The sequence below is a fragment of the Homo sapiens genome, chromosome 1 (genome assembly GCF_000001405.40).
Source record: "Homo sapiens chromosome 1, GRCh38.p14 Primary Assembly".
Lineage (NCBI taxonomy): Eukaryota > Metazoa > Chordata > Mammalia > Primates > Hominidae > Homo > Homo sapiens.
The window spans coordinates 20603439-20621957 of record NC_000001.11 but is presented as its reverse complement, the minus strand read 5'-3'; the positions used below and the strand labels follow the sequence as shown (position 1 = coordinate 20621957).

The window sequence follows — 18519 nt, the reverse complement described above, 5'->3', positions numbered from 1 at the left end:
CTGTATGCAGTGGCTCACCCCTGTAATCCCAGTACTTTGGCAGGCTGAGGCAGGCAGATCACTTGAGGTCAGGAGTTCGAGACCAGCCTGACCAACATGGTGAAACCCCGTCTCTACTAAAAATACAAAAATTAGATGGGCGTAGTGGTGGGCGTTTGTAATCCTAGCTACTCAGGAGGCTGAGGCAGGAGAATCACTTGAACCCTGGAGGCAGAGGCTGCAGTGAGCCGAGATCACGCCACTGCACTCCCGCCTGGGCAACAGAGGGAGACTCTATCTCACAAAAAAAAAAAAAAAAAGGCTGTAAAATTTTGCAAAAACAAATCCATCCTTAAAAAAAACAAAATTTATCACCCTTGTTGAGGGTTAACAGCCAAGATTTACGGAGAATTTACTGAGGGTCAAACACTGGGCCTTTATTTTATTTTATTTTTTTGTGATGGAGCTTCACTTTTGTTGCCCAGGCTGGAGTGCAGTGGCGTAATCTCAGCTCACTGCAACCTCTGCCTCCTGGGTTCAAGCGATTCTCCTGCCTCAGCCTCCTGAGTAGCTGGGATTACAGGCACGCACCACCACGCCTGGCTGATTTTTTGTATTTTTAGTAGGGACAGGGTTTTGCTATGTTGGAGAGGCTGGTCTCGAATTCCTGACCTCAAGTCAGGAGTGATCTACCTGCCTCGGCCTCCCAAAGTGCTAGGATTATAGGTGTGAGCCACTGTGCCTGGCCTGTTGTTGTTTTAGAGACAGTATCTCACTCTGTTGTCCAGGCTGGAGTGCAGTGATGCAATCATGGCCCACTGTGGCCCTGAACTCCTGGCCTCAAGAGATCCGTCTGCTTCAGCCTCCTGGGTAGCTGGGACCACGGGCAAGCATCATAAGGCCAAGCTAATTTAATTTATTTAGTTTATTTTATTATTTAATTAATTTAATTATTTGTTTATTTTAGAGACAGAATCTCACTGTTTACTTGGCTAGTCTTGAATTCCTGACCTCAAGAGGTCCTCTTACCTCAGCCTCCCACAGTGTTGGGATTATAGGTGTGAGCCACTGTGCTCAGCCACCAAAGCCATTTCTAAAGAAAGCCAGGCCGGGCGTGGTGGCTCGCACCTGTAATCCTAGCACTTAGGGAGGCCGAGGCGGGTGGATCATGAGGTCAGGTGTTCAAGGCCAGCCTGGCCAAGATGGTAAAACCCCGTCTCTACTAAAACTACGAAAATTAGCCAGGTGCAGTGGCAGGTGCCTGTAATCCCAGCTACCTGGGAGGCTCAGGCAGGAGAATCACTTGAACCCGGGCAGCAGAGGTTGCAGTGAGCCGAGATCGCACCACTACACTTCAGCCTGGGTGACAGAGTGAGACTCCATCTCAAAAAAAATAAAATAAAATAAAATAAAAGCAGAATGGAGTTGTGTGTCATATAGCCATGCTGGAATGACTGGGATGCTCCCAAGATGCCAGCAGATAAGTCTGAGTGTGTTGTGGCAAAGCCATTCTCATCAGGTGGCAACACTGGATCAGGGTGGAAAGGGCTTCCAGGGAAGGGGTGATGTCCACTTGGGTGCCCCTAGGTACTTGCTTGCCCTGGGAACAGGAAACCTAAGCTGTATTCTTACCCCACCCAATGAGCCAGCCCCAAGACCAACTCCTCCTGGGAGGGCTCCTGGAGCTGTCATCCCCCTCCAGAGCACCCACCCTGTCTCCTTCCTTATTCAGTCCTGACCTTCCTAATTTTGTGCATGTGTGATAACCAATGCACCCATGAAAGAAACAGTCCCTCCCTGTCCTCACACTCCAGACAGCAGCAGGCTCCCCGACACACCCACCTGACACTTGGTTCTGCCTGGATCACAGTGTGCACTCCTGTGCATTAGACCTGTGTACACCTCTCTTTCTCTCAATCTGTCAGGCTGGGAGTTCAAGGGCAGAGGCTGTTTTTCTCTGCAATATTTAGAATATTTGACATATAAAAGATAATCAGTAAATTGAGACATCAGTTATGGGGGAATGGAAAAAAATCCTTGGAATCCTTGTTGTTATTGTTTTTGAGACGGAGTCTCACTCTGTCACCCAGGCTGGAGGGCAGTGGCACAATCTCGGCTCACTGCAACCTCCACCTCCTGGGTTTAAATGACTCTCCTGCCTCAGCCTCCTGAGTGGTTGGGATTACAGGCACCTGCCACCACGCCCGGCTAATTTTTGTATTTTTTAGAAGAGACAGGGTTTCACTATGTTGGCCAGGCTGGTCTCAAACTCCTGACCTCAGGTGATCTGCCCTCCTCGGCCTCCCAAAGTGCTGGGATTACAGGCGTGAGCCACCTTGCCCGGCCCAGACAGATCTAGTTCTGATTCCAGTTCTGCCACATCAGCTGTGTGACTTTGGGTGAGCAACTCAATCACTCTGAGCTTCGAGTTGCTTATTTCTAAATTGAGAACACTAATAATTAACCTTTGAGTTTGACAAATGAGGACTGAACGGGTTCATATATGTCACACACCTTAGCGCAGTGCATGGCAAAAAGCATGCAATGTTTCCGGACCACAGTGGGGGTTAAGGGGCCTGGATTCTGTTCTGAGGTTTGCCATTGTCCTAGAGCAGGGTATTCAACTTCTCCAAAGCCCAGTGCTCTCATCTGTGAAAAGGGGGCATCTCCACACCCTCCTCACAGAACTGTGGAGCATGTTAAACTTAAAATGATGCACACAAATTACCTGACATACAGTAGCTACTGAGAAAACCCTTTGTTACACTGTCTAGACAAACCGTGCTTGACCCTTTATACTCTGGAGTCTCCTGGTGCTCAGGTCTATGATGAGACAAAAACACACTCTAGGATGGTTATTGGCAGTTAGGTCCAGCCCAGGGGAGCTGCCCGTTTAGAGAACGCTGGGGCAAGTTGCCTAAAACCTCAGCTCTCCACACCATAAGGTCCATGGTTCCAAGGTACCCATTTCCTCTCCGAACAGAAAGAGTCCAGCTCTTCCTATAAAGACAAATCATGCTGTCCCTCCTAAGAGCTGCAAGCAAGGATAGAGACAGAGCAAGACACACGCTTTGATCCAGGATGTTCTGTGATGTTTATAATTAGAAAAGTTGCTCGGAACAGGATAGAACCTTGGGAAGGCTGATGGGGAAGCAGTCCAGACTAGGCTGGACTTTGAAAGAGGGCCCACAGGAAGGAAAGGAAAGGTGGGGCAGGGGGCGGCGGTGTTCTAAGTCCCAAGGCAGGTTGCTAGGAGGGGTGCTGACTCAGGCTGGAGTGTAATCTGGAAACATCATCTTTGCCCAGTCCCTGTAGGGCTGGGGCCCACTGGGCAGGTGTCCCCAGGGCTGTGAGACATCTTTATGAAGTTCTCCAGGTGGCTGTTACAGGCAGTGGGCATTCTCTGGCTGTCACTGGGTCTTCTGCAGGTCCTCAGGCCCAAAGGAGGAGGGCAGCAGCTCCTGGACCGTCATGACAATATACGTACCATCCGGCTTGGTCATGTACACGGGCCAGTTGGTGCCAAACTGGAAAAGAGGCAAAGCTGGCGTGAGAGACACAGCGTGGCTGAGGGGGCTGAGACGGACTGGGTCTGAGTCTGACTCTGCCACTGTCTAATGTTCCTCTCTTTACCTTGATTTTCTCATCTGTAAAAGGGGAATGACCATAATTGTACCTGGATCATAGTGCTGCAGGGAGGAGGAAACGAAAGAATGCTGTGAAACTGAACAGTGCATGGTACATCGTGAACAGGCACCATTCAAGACTCACCCAGGGCTTTATAAGAGCAACAGCTAACCCCTGGAACCTCCTTCTGCTATGACAAATGACAACTAACACCCGCTTCCCTTCAGTATCCCCTTTACACCTCACACCAGGAGAAGCTGCAAGCCTGCTACATATACTCAGTGTATTAGTCTGTTCTCAAGCTGCTAATAAAGACATACTTGAGACCGGGTAATTTATAAAGAAAAGAGGTTTAGGCCGGGTGTTGTGGCGCACGCCTGTACTCCCAGCACTTTTGGGAGGCCGAGGCAGGCGGATCTCCTGAGGTCAGGAGTTCGAGATGAGCCTGGCCAACATGGTGAAACTTCATCTCTCCTAAAAATACAAAAATTAGCCAGGCGTGGTGGCAAGCACATGTAATCCCAGCTACTCAGAAGGCTTGAGGCAGGAGAATCTCTGGAACCCGGGAGGCAGAGGTTGCAGTGAGCCAAGATCACACCACTGCAGTCCAGCCTTGGCCATAGAGCGAGACTCGGTCTCAAAAAAAAAAAAAAATAAAATAAAATAAAAAAGGAGGTTTAATGGACTCACAGTTCCACATGGCTGGGGAAGCCTCACAACCATGGCGGAAGAGGAAGGAAGAGCAAAGGGATGTCTTACCTGGCAACAGGCAAGAGAGGACTTGTGTGAGGGAACCCCCATTTATAAAACCATCAGATCTCATGAGACTTATTCACTATCACGAGAACAGCGTGGGAAAGACCCGCCCCCATGATTCAATTGCCTCCCACCAGGTCCCTCCCATGACATGTGGGAATTATGGGAGCTACAATTCAAGATGAGATTTGAGTGGGGACACAGCCAAACCACACCACATAGATACTGCACATGCGTGGTTTCATAATCTACCCTGTGAGGTAGGTGCTATCATGATGCCCATTTTACTGATGAGGAAACTGAGGCTTAGCAGAGTAAAGTCAGCAAAGAAAAATTTGTCTCTTGATCTTTCTCCTATACTATGAGGAGCACTGTTTGTTTGCTGTGTGACCTTGGGAAAATGATAACTTTCTGGGGCTCACTCAGTGTCTTGGTCCATGGAATGGTTTTAGGGATGGGAGAATGCAGGATGGTAGGCAAGAGGTTAATCAGCAGCGGTGTCATGACAAGAGCCCTGGAGGTGGGGTCAACAGACCTAAGCTCTTTCTGGCCAGGTATTCTGAGATGCAGAGATGATTCATGTAAAGCATCTCTATGCACATAGTAGGTGTTCAATTAATAGATGCCATTCTTATTGATTATGTTGGTAGCCAGTGACTGCTCAGGTCTGCAGCCTCCTGTTCTTCCACACTTCTCTCTGAATCACCAAGTTATTCCCGGGCACACTCAATCTTCTGGCTTTTTTAGAATTAATGTTTTAAGGAAGGAAATTTTTCTGCTTGACAGGCTGTGCCTAAGGGTAGGTACAGACAAAAGTTGAGCCGAGGGCGAGTTTACGTGTCAGGTCCCTGGCCCCAACGCCTCATCTCTTATCATTTGCATTTGGTTTCAGTTTCCCCCCTGCCTCCTTCAGCTTTTTCATTTGCCTTCTCTCGTTTGCCAACATCCAATCTGTTTGGAGAAAACAGCACTGAGCAATTGGACCACGTCGGGGCCTTGGGAGCCAGGGACTTGGCGCCCTGTTGTGGCTTCCTTATATGACCTTCGACATTTCCACCGTGCAGGGCAGCTATTTCTGCCCCTCTCAAGTGAGACAAATTCCACCGTGTAAATTCACTGCTTTCCCGGTGGTATGTTTTTGGATTTGGGAAATGTGTCTGATTTGCACTCCTGGCAGGAAGCAGGAGGAAGATGGAAGTGTCTGCATCCCCAGATGCTTTGAAACCCCACGGCACAAAAACAAAGCTAAAACAACCCCCTTTCTCCCAAAACACAACTCCAAAAGCAGAAACTCCCACGGTACAAGCAGCATCCACATGCCAAAGTACCATTATGTTTCCTCCATGGTTGAAAATAATTTTGTCCAACTTACAGAACCACAAAGACAGAGAGGCAGCCGTGAGGAGCACGGGCTTCAGAGTCAGCCTGATGGGCCATGGATACCCATATGTCACCGCCTGGCAGGGGGCCCTTCAGTAAGTCATTTTACTCCTCTGAGCCTCAGAGTGGTCACTGGGAAATGGGAATAACGACATGCATTTCACTCAGTCTTGGGGAGGGGATTAAACAAGATGCTGTAGGTATGTATTTATTTTTGAGACCGGATCTCGCTCTGTCACCCAGGCAGGAGTGCAGTGGCTTGATCACAGCTCACTGCAGCCTTGACCTCCTAGGCTCTAGTGATCCTCCTACCTCAGCCTCTGGAGCAGCTAGGACCACAGGCGTGCACACTATGCCTTGCTAATTTTTAAATTGTTTGAAGGGACCGGGTTTTACTATGTGGCCCAGGCTGGTTTTGAATTCCTGGGCTAAGGTGATCCTCCTGCCTCAGTCTCCCAAAGTGCAGGGCTTACAGGTGTAAGCCATCATGCCCACAAGATGCCGTATTTCGAGGGGCTCTTGATATTATGCTGGAGCTCAGGGCCTGTGGGATTCTCTAATCTTTTGGGACTCTAGAGGACACAGATCTCTTTGAGAATCCACAATAGTTACTGACATTCCCCTTTCCCCAAACGTACATATAAACATGAAAACCTTCCCCTGAGCCTGGATTAAGAACCCATGATCTAAACTATCCCTTCGTTTTCATTTTTTTGTTTTGTTTTATTCCTTTTTTTTTTTTTTTGTGGAGAACAGGGTCTCGCTATGTTGCCCAGGCAGGTCTCGAACTCCTGGACCCAAGCGATCCTCCTGCCTCTGCCTCCCTAATTGCTGGGATTACAGGCTGAGCCACCATACCTGGCTTACCGTTTTGTTTTTAGAGTTGAAGAAATTGCAGCCTTCCATCAAGAGGACTTTTATAAAAAGTCCTTCAAGTTTCTTCTTGAAAATATCCAATGGCTTACCTTTATTCCCTTTTTTCCCAATGTATATAATGTGATAAAATATATATAATGTAAGATTTGCCATTTTAACCATGTTTAAGTGTACACTCCAGGCTGGGCGCGGTGGCTCACGCCTGTAATCCCAGCACTTTGGGAGGCCGAGGTGGGCAGATAACAAGGTCAGGAGTTCAAGACCATCCTGGCCAACATGGTGAAACCCAGTCTCTACTAAAAATACAAAAATTAGCCGGGCATGGTAGCTGGCGCCTGTAGTCCCAGCTACTCGGGAGGCTGAGGCAGGAGAATTGCTTGAACCCAGGAGGCGGAGGTTGCAGTGAGCTGAGACTCTACCACTGCACTCCAGCCTGGGTGACAGAGTGAGACTCCGTCTCAAAAAAAAAAAAGTGTACACTTCAGTTTCCTTTATTCTTGGAATAAAATGTACCCTTCGTTCCATGGCCAGGCCCCATGTGATCTGGCCTCTGCCCACCCCTCTGACTTCAATCCCATTGCTTTCCTTCCACCTACCAGGCCCTAGCTCTCTAGCCCTCGTGGCCTTCTTGCCTCTTCTCAAATTCACCAAGGGTCTGAACTTGCTGGTTCTGAATCTCCTTTTTTGACCTTTGTCTGTCTCATTTTTTTCCTCATTATTTATATTTCTGCTCAAATGTCATGCTCAAAAAGAGGGCCTTCCTGGATATCTAAAGCAGGGGTTGGCAAACCTTTTTCTGTCAAGGACCAGACAGTAAATATCTTAGGTTTAGAGGCCATGTGGCCTTTGTCGTAATGGCTCACCTCTGCTGTGTCAGGGCAAAGTGGCTATGGACAATAGGTGAATGAATGGCCATGGCTGTATACCCATAAAACTTTATTTACAAATACAAGCAGCAGGCTGGATTTGGCCCAAGGGCTGTTGTTTGCTGACCCCAATCTGCAGTGTCCCCTGTTTGCCCGTTTGTCACTGGACTCCTTTTTTTTTTCTGCATTTTGTTTTCCTCTATAGCCCTCTTGACTCAGAAACGCCACTGTTTGTTTATTTATTTTGCTCCTTGTTTATCATCTGTCTCCTGCATTAGCCTATGAGCTCTGTGAGGGCAGGGCCTGGCCCATCTTTTCCCTGTGCCTCCCCAGAGCTACCTCAGGGCCTGGCACAAAGCAGACACTCACTCGGTAAGTATTTGTTAAATGAAGGAATAATTTCCAGTGACTCATGCAAGCGTAGGGAGGCCTTAGAAGTCAGCCAACCAAGCAAACAGGACAGTAGCTGTGTCTCCACGCCTGCCATGCCTGCCATGCCTGCAACTTGGCGTGGCTCCCATAGCCTGCGACAGGGAAGATATTTGCATTCCAGACAGCAAGAGAAGCTGCTTACCTCTCTCATGACTTGCCTGCAGGCCCCACATGGAGAGATAAAATCATCTTGCATGTCACTGGGGAAGCAAAGAATCAAACTCAAATTAGTCTCTCCCAAGGACTGAGGACAATTGCTAAGATTCAGGCCCTGAGACTCGGTCTGTTCCTGATTTGGGTCATACCCCATCAGGCAGTTCCTGATTCACAGATCCACTGTGTCCTGAAGGCTGAGAAGGCCACGTGGTGGCTTTCCACACTGCCACAAGGCAGGGCCATGGGCAGGACTTTCATTAGTGCCATCCATAAACGTTTACTGAGCACTTACCATCACCCACACCCGGGAATACAAAGGTCAAAGAGAATTTGTCTCTGTTATGTAAAAAACCAGCTGAGTTATCATGTTAAACAAAATGCAGCTGGGCTTGGTAGCTCACGCCTGTAATCCCAGCACTTTGGGAGGCCGAGGTGGGTGGATCACCTGAGGGCAGGAGTTCGAGACCAGCCTGGCCAACGTGGTAAAACACCGTCTTTACTAAAAATACAAAAATTACCCAGGCTTGGTGGTGGGCGCCTGTAGCTCCCAGCTACTCAGGAGGCTGAGGCAGAAGAATCGCTTGAATCCGGGAGGCAAAGGTTGCAGTGAGCCAAGACCGTGCCATAGCACCCCAGCCTGGGCAACAAGAATGAAAATCCTTCTCAAAAAAAAAAAAAATTGCAGAAGGAACACACAGTATGAGGGAGCTCATCCCTGCCTGTGGACTGAGAAGGAAGATTTTATGGAGGAGGAGGCATGTGTCCTGGTCCTTGGAGGAAGTGTAGAGTTCATAAGTCACCATTTAGTGAATGTCTACTGTATGCCAGGCTCTGTACCAGGCACTCAACATTCATTAATTCATGGAATTCTCAGAGCAGCCTGGTGTCACGCACGTCTGTGTAAAGAGAGTCCACCAACAGGCTTTTTTTTTTTTTTTTTTTTGAGATGGAGTCTCGCTCTGTTACCCAGGCTGGAGTGCAGTGGCGTGATCTTGGCTCACTGAAACCTCCGCCTCCCGGGTTCAAGCGATTCTCCTGCCTCAACCTCCCGAGTAGCTGGGATTACAGGCATGCACCACCACGCCCGGCTAATTTTTGTAATTTTAGTAGAGACGGGGTTTCACTATGTTAGCCAGGATGGTCTCGATCTCCTGACCTCATGATCCGCCCACCTCGGCCTCCAGGCATGAGCCACCCCGCCCCGCCCCACCAACAGGCTTTGTGTGAGTAATAAAGCTTTTTAGTCACCTGGGTGCAGGCAGGCTGAGTCTGCAAAGAGAGTCAGCAAAGGGAGATCAGGGTGGGGCAGTTTTATAGGATTTGGGTAGGTAATGGAAAATTACAGTTAAAGGGGGTTGTTTTCTTGTGGGCAGGGGCGGGGGTCACACGGTGCAGGGTGGGGAGACCGTGAGACTCATTGTCGGTGGTGGGGGGGTGGAATGTCACAAGATCGATTGGTTAGTTGGGGTGGGGAAGGAACAAATCACAATGGTGGAATGTCATCTCTTGTGGTTCTTCAGTTGCTCCAGGCCATCTGGATGTATATGTGCAGGTCACAGGGGTTAAGACCGCTTAGCTTGGGCTCAGAGGCCTGACATCAAGATGTCAGAATGGCCACTTTAAGGGTGAGGAGATAGGTTCAGTGTGATGAAGAGGCAGAGATGCTATTCGGAAGCCCTGGGTTTCTCTGTGTCGTAGGCGAAGGAAATAAATAGTATGTGCAGGTTGGGCGTGGTGGCTCATGCCTGTAATCCCAGCACTTTGGGAGGCTGAGGCGGATGGATCACCTGAGGTCAGGAGTTCGAGACCATCCTGGCCAACATGGCGAAACTGCATCTCTACTAAAATACAAAAAATTAGCCAGGTGTGGTGGTGCAGGCCTGTAGTCCCAGCAACTCAGGAGAGTGAGGTGGGAGGATCACTCGAGCCTGGGAGGCGGAGGTTGCAGTGAACTGTGATTGTGCCACCGCACTCCAGCCTGGGTGACAGAGTGAGACCCTGTCTCAAAAAACAAACAAACAAAAAAACAGTATGTGCAAAGGCCCTGAGGCATGAAAGAATAAAGTGCATGTGTCTCAGAGAGAAAAATGGGCTCCTTGCACTGAAGAAGCTCACCAGCCAGGGATTGCCTGTGAGAGTTTAGGCTCCTACAGGCAGACCTCCAGCTCTGAGCAGGACAAGGATTGGTCCCTAAAACAGGCGGCTTTGGCCAGGCACAGTGGCTCACGCCTATAATCCCAGCACTTTGGGAGGCCAAGGTGGGTGGATCATGAGGTCAAGAGACCGAGACCATCCTGGCCAACATGGTGGGACCCCATCGCTACTAAAAATACAAAAATTAGCTGGGTGTGGTGGTGCACACCTATAGTCCCAGCTACCCAGGAGGCTGAGGCAGGAGAATCACTTGAACCCGGGAGGCGGGGGTTGCAGTAAGCCGAGATGGTGCCACTGCACTCCAGCCTGGTGACAGAGCGAGACTCCGCCTCAAAACAAAACAAAACAAAACAAACAAGTGCCTTTGATGATGGAAAATTCCAAGCCTGCACCACAGGTGAAGCCAGCAGCCACCATCCTTCTTACTCTTCTGGACCCACAGCTTTGTGATATCTCTGGAAGAACATAGGATTTTTATTTATTTATTTATTTGAGACAGGGTCTTGTTCTGTTGTCTAGGCTACAGTGCAGTGGCACAATCATGGCTCACTGCAGCCTCTGCCTCCTGGCCTCAAAGGCTCCTCCTACCTCAGCCTCCTGAGTAGCTGGGACTGCAGTCACGCACCACCGCACTTGACTCATTTTCTGATTTGTTGTAGAAATAGGATCTTACTATATTGCCCAGGCTGGTCTTGAACTTCTGGGCTCAAGAGATCTTTGCACCTCAGCCTCCCAAAGTACTGGGATTACAGACATGAGCCACCATGCCTGGCAGAACACAGGATTTAAATTTTGGTTTTTAGTTGGCTCTTCCTTTTGCTATGTGTGACTTTGACTAAGTCATTTTAACTCATCCAAGTCTCATTTATTTGCTGTAAAATGTGGATGATACGTCATCTGCTTTGTAAGAATGCTAGAAGATAAAATGAGATAAGGTGTATGGAAGACTTTGTAAACTTTAGAATGTTATATACATATTGTTACTGCCTGTTCTAAGTGCTGGACATTTATTTCCTTACGTATGTAAGCTCTGTCATAATTTTAGTACTTTATCATACACAGTTTTATTATATGCTATGTGATTTATGTACTATTTCATAATTCATCTTATTATATCTTAACAACAATTGTTATTAAGATAATGTGTGCCTATGCCTGTAATCCCAGCACTTTGGGAGGCCGAGGTGGGTGGATCACAAAGTCAGGAGTTCAAGACCAGCCTGGCCAACATGGTGAAACCCTGTCTCTACTAAGAATACAAAAATTAGCCGGGCGTGGTGGCAGATGCCTGTAATCCCTGCTACTTGGGAGGCTGAGGCAGAGAATTGCTTGAACCTGGGAGGTAGAGGTTGCAGTGAGCCGAGATCATGCCACTGCACTCCAGTCTGGGTGACAGAGCAAGACTCCATCTCAAAAAAAAATAAAAATAAATAAATAAAAATAAAAATAAAATAAAATAAAAAAAAAAAAGATAATGTGTGCCTAGAATGTGCCAGGCATTCTGCAAAGCATTTTATATGCATTGTCTCACTTCAACCAACAAATATTTACTGAGCAGTGCTGGGCACTGTCATTGGTGCTAGGAGTGCAGCAGTGAACAAAACAGACAAAATTCACTATGCTCAGGAGTTTATAGACTAGTGAGGGGAGCTAGGCAACTGATCAACCACCCAACCAACCAACCAACCATGCGTCAAGTGGAGATAGGGATGATATTATGATTAGAATAAAGCAGCTGAGGTGCTATTTTCTCTAATCCTCACCATTACTACCTTTTACATGTGGGGGTCCAGTCAATGAAAGGTTCTGTTCCATGGGATGATGGGGACCTCTCTGAGGACGCTTCCAGCTTCAGAAGAAAAACCCACGGGCACATAAGAGGGTGGGGACTCCTGCCCAGGATGCCGAGTGAACTCTTGGAATTACTGGGTGACAGCTGTTGCAGCCAGGGCCTCTTAAGCTTTTTGGGGGTTATTCTTCACTTCATTCCAGACATGTCGACCAAAATCCTTCTCTATGTCAGGCAGGCATGGGAAAGGAGCAACAAAGACCAATCGGACAATTCCTGGAGCTTACCCTCTGGAGGGGGAGATAAAATTTCACACAAATGCCGTAACAAAGGCATGGTTAGGGCCATGGGAGAGTTGCTCTGAATGAAATTCAGCCTTCCTTTCATGGCCTGTAAGGCCCTGTGTGATCTGACCCCTGCTGAGCTCACCGCTTCCTTTCTGAATCTTTTTTTTTTTGAGACGGAGTCTCGCTCTGTCGCCCAGGCTGGAGTGCAGTGGCGCGATCTCGGCTCACTGCAAGCTCTGCCTCCCAGGTTCGCGCCATTCTCCTGCCTCAGCCTCCTGAGTAGCTGGGACTACAGGTGCCCGCCACCACGCCTGGTTAATTTTTTTTGTATTTTTAGTAGAGACGGGGTTTCACCGTGTTAGGCAGGATGGTCTCGATCTCCTGACCTCATGATCCGCCTGCCTCGGCCTTCCAAAGTGCTGGGATTATAGGCATGAGCCACTGCGCCCGGCCTTCTTTCTGAATCTTGTGGCATCTGTGGCCCACTACCCAATGGCTAGCTCCCTGGACAAGGTGATCTGCATCAGGGATTTCAAGGTGGGCAAGCATGCATTCCACTGGGAAGGTAGATTTGGTGTAGGCTTCAACAACCAAAAGTCGCAGGATAGTGTTTCCAGGCAGCCTAGCACTGAGGATGTAGAGACAGCGCATTAACAGTAATGGCTTACACATACATAGTGGTTCTGTGTGCCAGCCTCTGTGCTAAGGACCTTAAGTGGATTAGTTCATTTAATCCCCCAACAACCCTGTAAGGGGCCGGGGTATGCAGGCGCTCTTATCACCTGCATGCTGTAGATCATGAAAGGTGAAACGACTTGCCCAAGGCCACAGAGTTAGTGAAGTGGCAGAATCAGGATTTGAACCCCAAATCTACACACTCTGCCTTTGGTAGTTTTGCAGCTTGCAGAAGAAATAATGATAACTTTAAAACAATATAATAGTTTGAGGCTGAATGCGGTTGCTCATGCCTATAATCCCAGCACTTTGGGAGGCCGAGGTGGGCAGATCACTTGAGGCCAGAAGTTCGAGACCAGCTTGGTCAACGTGGTGAAACCCTGTCTCTACTAAAAATTCAAAAATTAGCCAGGCGTGCTGGCCGGCACCTGTAGTCTCAATTACTCAGGAGGCTGAAGCATGAGAATCGCTTGAACCTGGGAGGCGGAGGTTGCAGTGAGCCGAAATCTTGCCACTACACTCCAGCCTGGGCGGCACAGAGAGACTTGTTCTCAAACAAAACAAAACAAAACAAAACAAAACAAAACTATATAATAGTTTGAATGTATTACATACCCTGTGTCAGGAACTTTACAGAAATCGTTTCTTAAGACCCTGTAACAGACCAGTCTCCTCCATTTCACAGATGAGAAGCCAGGCTCAGGGTCTAAGCAGCATGCCCAAGGTCCATAATGCGGCTGGATTTGGAAACTGGTTTCACTGACCCTGAAGCCTGGGCTTCTAACTTACTCAACGTTCCTGCCAAGAGAGAGCACTCAAGACTGAGCACCTGCTGGCTGCCTCAGGATGTTTCTTCACAGCTTCCCCCTTTCTCCCTCTACCCTGCCCTTCACTCTGTCCTGCCTTTTGCTGGCTATTTACAGTTTTCTGTGGTTTGTGCTCACCTTGGTCACACACTGAGGCCGTACTTATCAGACTTGACGGGCTGGAAACCTACTGACTCTGATCACTACAGCTGGGACCCAGTGGGGCAGTCTCATCTGTCTGTGAGCAGTAAGACACACGGACCTTTCCTGAGTGCGGTCTCCATCCTTAAAGACCTGAGAGGGGTTCTCTCTGAGGTTGCTCAGACCCATCTGATGTTAACAAGGGAGCTGGTACTTCTCATTCATCCTCTAAATCCACAAACGCTCTCAATTTAACAAATCATGAGTGCGATAATGAGTGCATCTTGGGCTCAGGGAAACTGAGCTGAATACCTAGAGTACAGCAGTTGGGTGCTGGAAAAATGGCAGGTTTTGTGTAAATAAGGACATTTGCTAATCATTGCTAGTGATACTTAGTTTTGTTTAAAAGTCGATAATGACCAAGAGAAAAAGCCTCTCATTTGGAAAATTCTAAATAGAGCAAGGCATCATTATCCTTTGGTTGACTTTGGCCTCTTTTTCCCTAGAATATCATTATTTTCTTGGATCAGCTTTGAAATTGAGTTATTTCCCTCCTTTTCTCTTTTTTTTCATAAAGTGCAATTCACATCCTGATCTTGGCCTATCTGCACAAAATGTTCTCAGCACAGCGTCCTTTATTCCTCCGGAAGCCTTAAGGAAGCCAGGACACACCTCGGTGACAGGGAAGGCTATCGGATACTGGAGCCCTTCTCCTTGAGTGCACCTCGGGCTTTACTTACTCAGAAACAAATTAAGCTGGGTCTCCTTGGGGCCAGACTGAGGCAAAGTGTAGGATCTTATAAAAGGCACGTGGGCTTGCTTCTGTGCAGTCCCCACTGGCCTTGCACTAAACCCCTGCATTTCTGCATTTTAGCCAGAAAGGTGCTAAAAGGTGTAGCTCTCTTTCTGTATTTTAGCCAGAAAGGTGCTGTAGCTCTACCACAGGAATTAACTCCACTATGAGTGAAGAGATAATTACCTCACAGAATGTGACCTATGCACCCAGATGTCCCTAAAGACCAACAGGCATGCAGCCTCCTTCTGGGTGGGATCAACATTTCCCATGTCATTTTTCTTGCATCATTAACTTGTTAAGAAAACTGTCATACACAATGCAAAGGTGCACACAGGAGCAATTCACCATTAAGTCATTCAATAATGGAGTCCAGTAAAAGGGCTAATTTACGTGCTTGGATCCTGAAACCACTGAGTCTAGGGCCAGAGCCAACAAGAATTCAACATGCTCCCGTGGAAAGTAAGCCATACCAACTAGGATATTTATGTTTGGGACATATAGGAGCATTGATTGGGGCTCTTGTTCAGCCAGAACCTTGGCTGGACTCTGATTAGTTTGAACCATAACTACTGTTTACCTGACTGTTTTTGTATCCTGGTTCTTGGACCTAGAGGTGAGTGTTGCCAAATGAAGGAGAGAGCAGTGCTGAGTGGCTCATTCAGGATCCTAGCATCAGCTTGTGGAGAACAGGGAAAAGTGTTCCATCTCCTGGCACAGCATGATGTAGTGGAATGAGCCCTGCAGTGAGACTCTGGAACCTGGGTTTTGTCCCAGCTCTGGCACTAACTCCCAGGAAAGTTGTTCAACTTATCGGGGCCTCAATTTCATCAGCTATAAAATGGGGGTGGTGGCAAGGGAGTCTATAGCAGGTGATTTTTAGGTCCCTCCCGCTTTTTTGTTTTGGAGACGGAATCTCGCTCTGTCACTCAGGCTGGAATGCAGAGGCGTGATCTCAGCTCACTGCGAGCTCCACCTCCCGGGTTCACGCCATGTTCCTGCCTCAGCCTCCCAAGTAGCTGGGACTACAGGCGCCCGCCAACCGTCATTTATTCCTCCGGAAGCCTTAAGGAAGCCAGGACACACCTCGGTGACAGGGAAGGCTATCGGATACTGGAGCCCTTCTCCTTGAGTGCACCTCGGGCTTTACTTACTCAGAAACAAATTAAGCTGGGTCTCCTTGGGGCCAGACTGAGGCAAAGTGTAGGATCTTATAAAAGGCACGTGGGCTTGCTTCTGTGCAGTCCCCACTGGCCTTGCACTAAACCCAGCTTTCAGTATTCCTTTTTTGTTATTCAAACAATACAGAACCTATAAGTAAGCCAAGAGAATCCAATGGTACAACACTGTGATAATTACTTGCCGGTGAAGACCTTTCCAAACTGTTCTCAATGCTTTTTTGTTTTGTGTTGTTTTTGAGACAGGGTCTCACTCTGTCCCCCAGGCTGGAGTGCAATGGCATAATCATGGCTCATTCCAGCCTCGAACTCCCAGGCTCAAGTGATCCTCCTGCCTCAGCCTCCCAAATAGCTGGGACTATGGGCATGCCACCATCAGCAAAAAAAAATTTTTTTTTTTTTTGAGACGGAGTCTTGCTCTGTCGCCCAGGCTGGAGTGCAGTGGCGCCATCTCGGCTCACTGCAAGCTCTGCCTCCCAGGTTCACACCATTCTCCTGCCTCAGCCTCCCAAGTAGCTGGGACTACAAGCATCCGCCACCACGCTCAGCTAATTTTTTTGTATTTTTAGTAGAGACGGGGTTTCACTGTGTTAGCCAGGATGGTTTCGATCTCCTGACCTCGTGATCTGCCCATCTTGGCCTCCCAAAGTGCTGGGATTACAGGCGTGAGCCACCGCGCCTGGCTCAGGTTCCCCCCGCTTTATGTTTCAATGCTGCCTTTCTGTTATATCTTGTAGGACAGGAGTCTGTATCACGTTGTGTTGCTGGAACAGGGGCATACTGGCCCTTGTATGAGAGTTGCCTTGCTTATTTACCTGCTTTGCAGGCTCACTGAGGGCAAACTCCATTTCTTATTTATCTCCTTATCCTCAGCACTCATCCCAGGGCCCTGTACAGTGCCTGGCACATAGGAAGTCCACAATAAACATATGTCAGATGAATGAATGAATGAATAATATGTGTAAGGAAGATGTTGGCTAAAGAGATGAATGAATATTGTTGCAACCTGGCTTTCCCACTCACCTGGCGATAGCAATTGCCCTGAAATCCTTGTACCCTTCTGAGACGGCCTTCTGGATAGCGGTCCGTTCAGCACAGATGCCCAGCGGGTAGCAGGCATTTTCTATGTTGCACCCTGAGAAGAGAGCAGAGTCCAGTGGTATGTCTGGCAGAGACACTTCCTGTTGCGTGTGTTGAGTAAGAAGTTTGCCCCATTCCAAAGCAGGAAGGAACTGGTTACTCCAAACAAGGTGGGGAGAAGGACAGGGCAATTAGGGCAATTCGACCTGGGGCACTGGTAGATTCTTTGGCCCATGGTAGTGGCCCTTCCCAAGAACCTGGCACTGTCTTAATTTACCCAATGCCTCCATGATGAAGCACAGCCTGGGAGCAGGGCAGCACAACAGGCAGATTAGGCAGCTCCATCACCCCTGCAGAGGTCAAGGCCAGGGTAGATCCCGAGGCTTACAAAAATAAGTAGAGCCCCCACACCTGCATCTAAGAGATCTAAGAGCCCCATGGTCTGAATGTGTCCCATCAAATTCATATGTTGAAATCCTAGCCCCCAAAGTGATGGTATTAGGAAGTGGGGCCTTTGGAGGAATGATTAGATAATGAGAATGGAATGAAGGGGACCAAGCCTAGGAATGGGAGTCATGCACTTATAAAACCAGAGAACTGCCTTGCCCCATCTGCCGCATGAGGACATAGCAAGGAGTCACCGTCTATGACTAAGCAGGCCCTCACTGAATCTGCCAGTGCCTTGAACCCTGGACTTTCCAGTCTCCAGAACTGTGAGCAATACATTTCTGTTATTTACAAGCTACCCAGTCTATGGTATTCTGTTATAGCAGCCTGAATGGACTAAGACAGATCCTGATTCCAAGTTTGAGCCTGGACAAAATTTTGGGGGTTAGGTACTGGCTGTCAGAGTTCAGCCAGGGTTCTGTGTCAGTTGTGTTGCAAAACAAACACACTGTCAAAACCAACTAACAACGAAATCAATTAACAAACAAACAAAAAAAACACCTCGAGCTTTGTGCGAGTTGCCTGTGATTTCACAAGACTTAAAACAATCCTCGGGCCTCCAGTGGGATGTGGGCTCCTAAGATGGCCCAGCTCTCAGTAAGGGAGTCCTTCCTGTTGGCTCTCTCAGGGTTGTTGCTGGGGGACAATAAGCCAAGGCTGCTCCTAGGAGGCAAGATGTTGGCATAACCAGATTGGCTAAGAAAGTCCCCATATTCAGGGAAGTGAGTCTACGAACAAATCACTATGGGAGCTGGGTTTTCCCCTGACCAGCAAGATGTGGTATTCCATCTGTATCACTGTTTGTAAATTGCCTTTTTCCCTGAGGCGGAGATAGGAGTTGTTCCCCAGTATTCATTTCCTATTTCTTCCTTTAAGTAATACAAGTGCCTCCCATTCCAGCATGGCCGCTCAGCTAGGGACTGTAATTCCCAGACTCCCTTGCAGCACAGTGTGGCCACATGATGCAGTTCTGGCCAATGGGATGTGGCCCAAGGTGATGTGGGAAATTTCTGGATCATACTTTTGGTAAGGAGGTTGCTTGCCTGTTACTTCCATTCTTTTCTCCTTCCACAGACTGGAAGGTGGAGGTGATGGGG

The 18519-nt window shown here is 48.3% G+C and overlaps 1 protein-coding gene across 1 annotated transcript in view, besides 1 other annotated feature; it reads right to left on the bottom strand.

Moving 5' to 3' along the window:
* Window positions 1–3054: 3054 nt before the first annotated feature.
* CDA (cytidine deaminase) overlaps window positions 3055–18519 on the bottom strand; it is a 29807-nt gene continuing 14342 nt past the window's right edge. Inside the window, exons 2-4 of the mRNA NM_001785.3 lie at window positions 16919–17030; window positions 8059–8116; window positions 3055–3506 (exon numbers count right to left, since the gene is read on the bottom strand). Of these exons, the coding sequence (NP_001776.1) occupies window positions 3390–3506; window positions 8059–8116; window positions 16919–17030 (287 nt within the window). The 3' untranslated portion in view covers window positions 3055–3389. The remainder of the gene's footprint in view (window positions 3507–8058; window positions 8117–16918; window positions 17031–18519) is intronic.
* Window positions 7194–8132: an enhancer, noted in NCBI's record as "NANOG-H3K27ac-H3K4me1 hESC enhancer chr1:20940319-20941257 (GRCh37/hg19 assembly coordinates)". NCBI's record gives its function as "activates a minimal SCP1, AML or CMV promoter by ChIP-STARR-seq in primed H9 embryonic stem cells {active_cell/tissue: H9 hESC(primed)}" and the evidence as "EXISTENCE:reporter gene assay evidence [ECO:0000049][PMID:30033119]".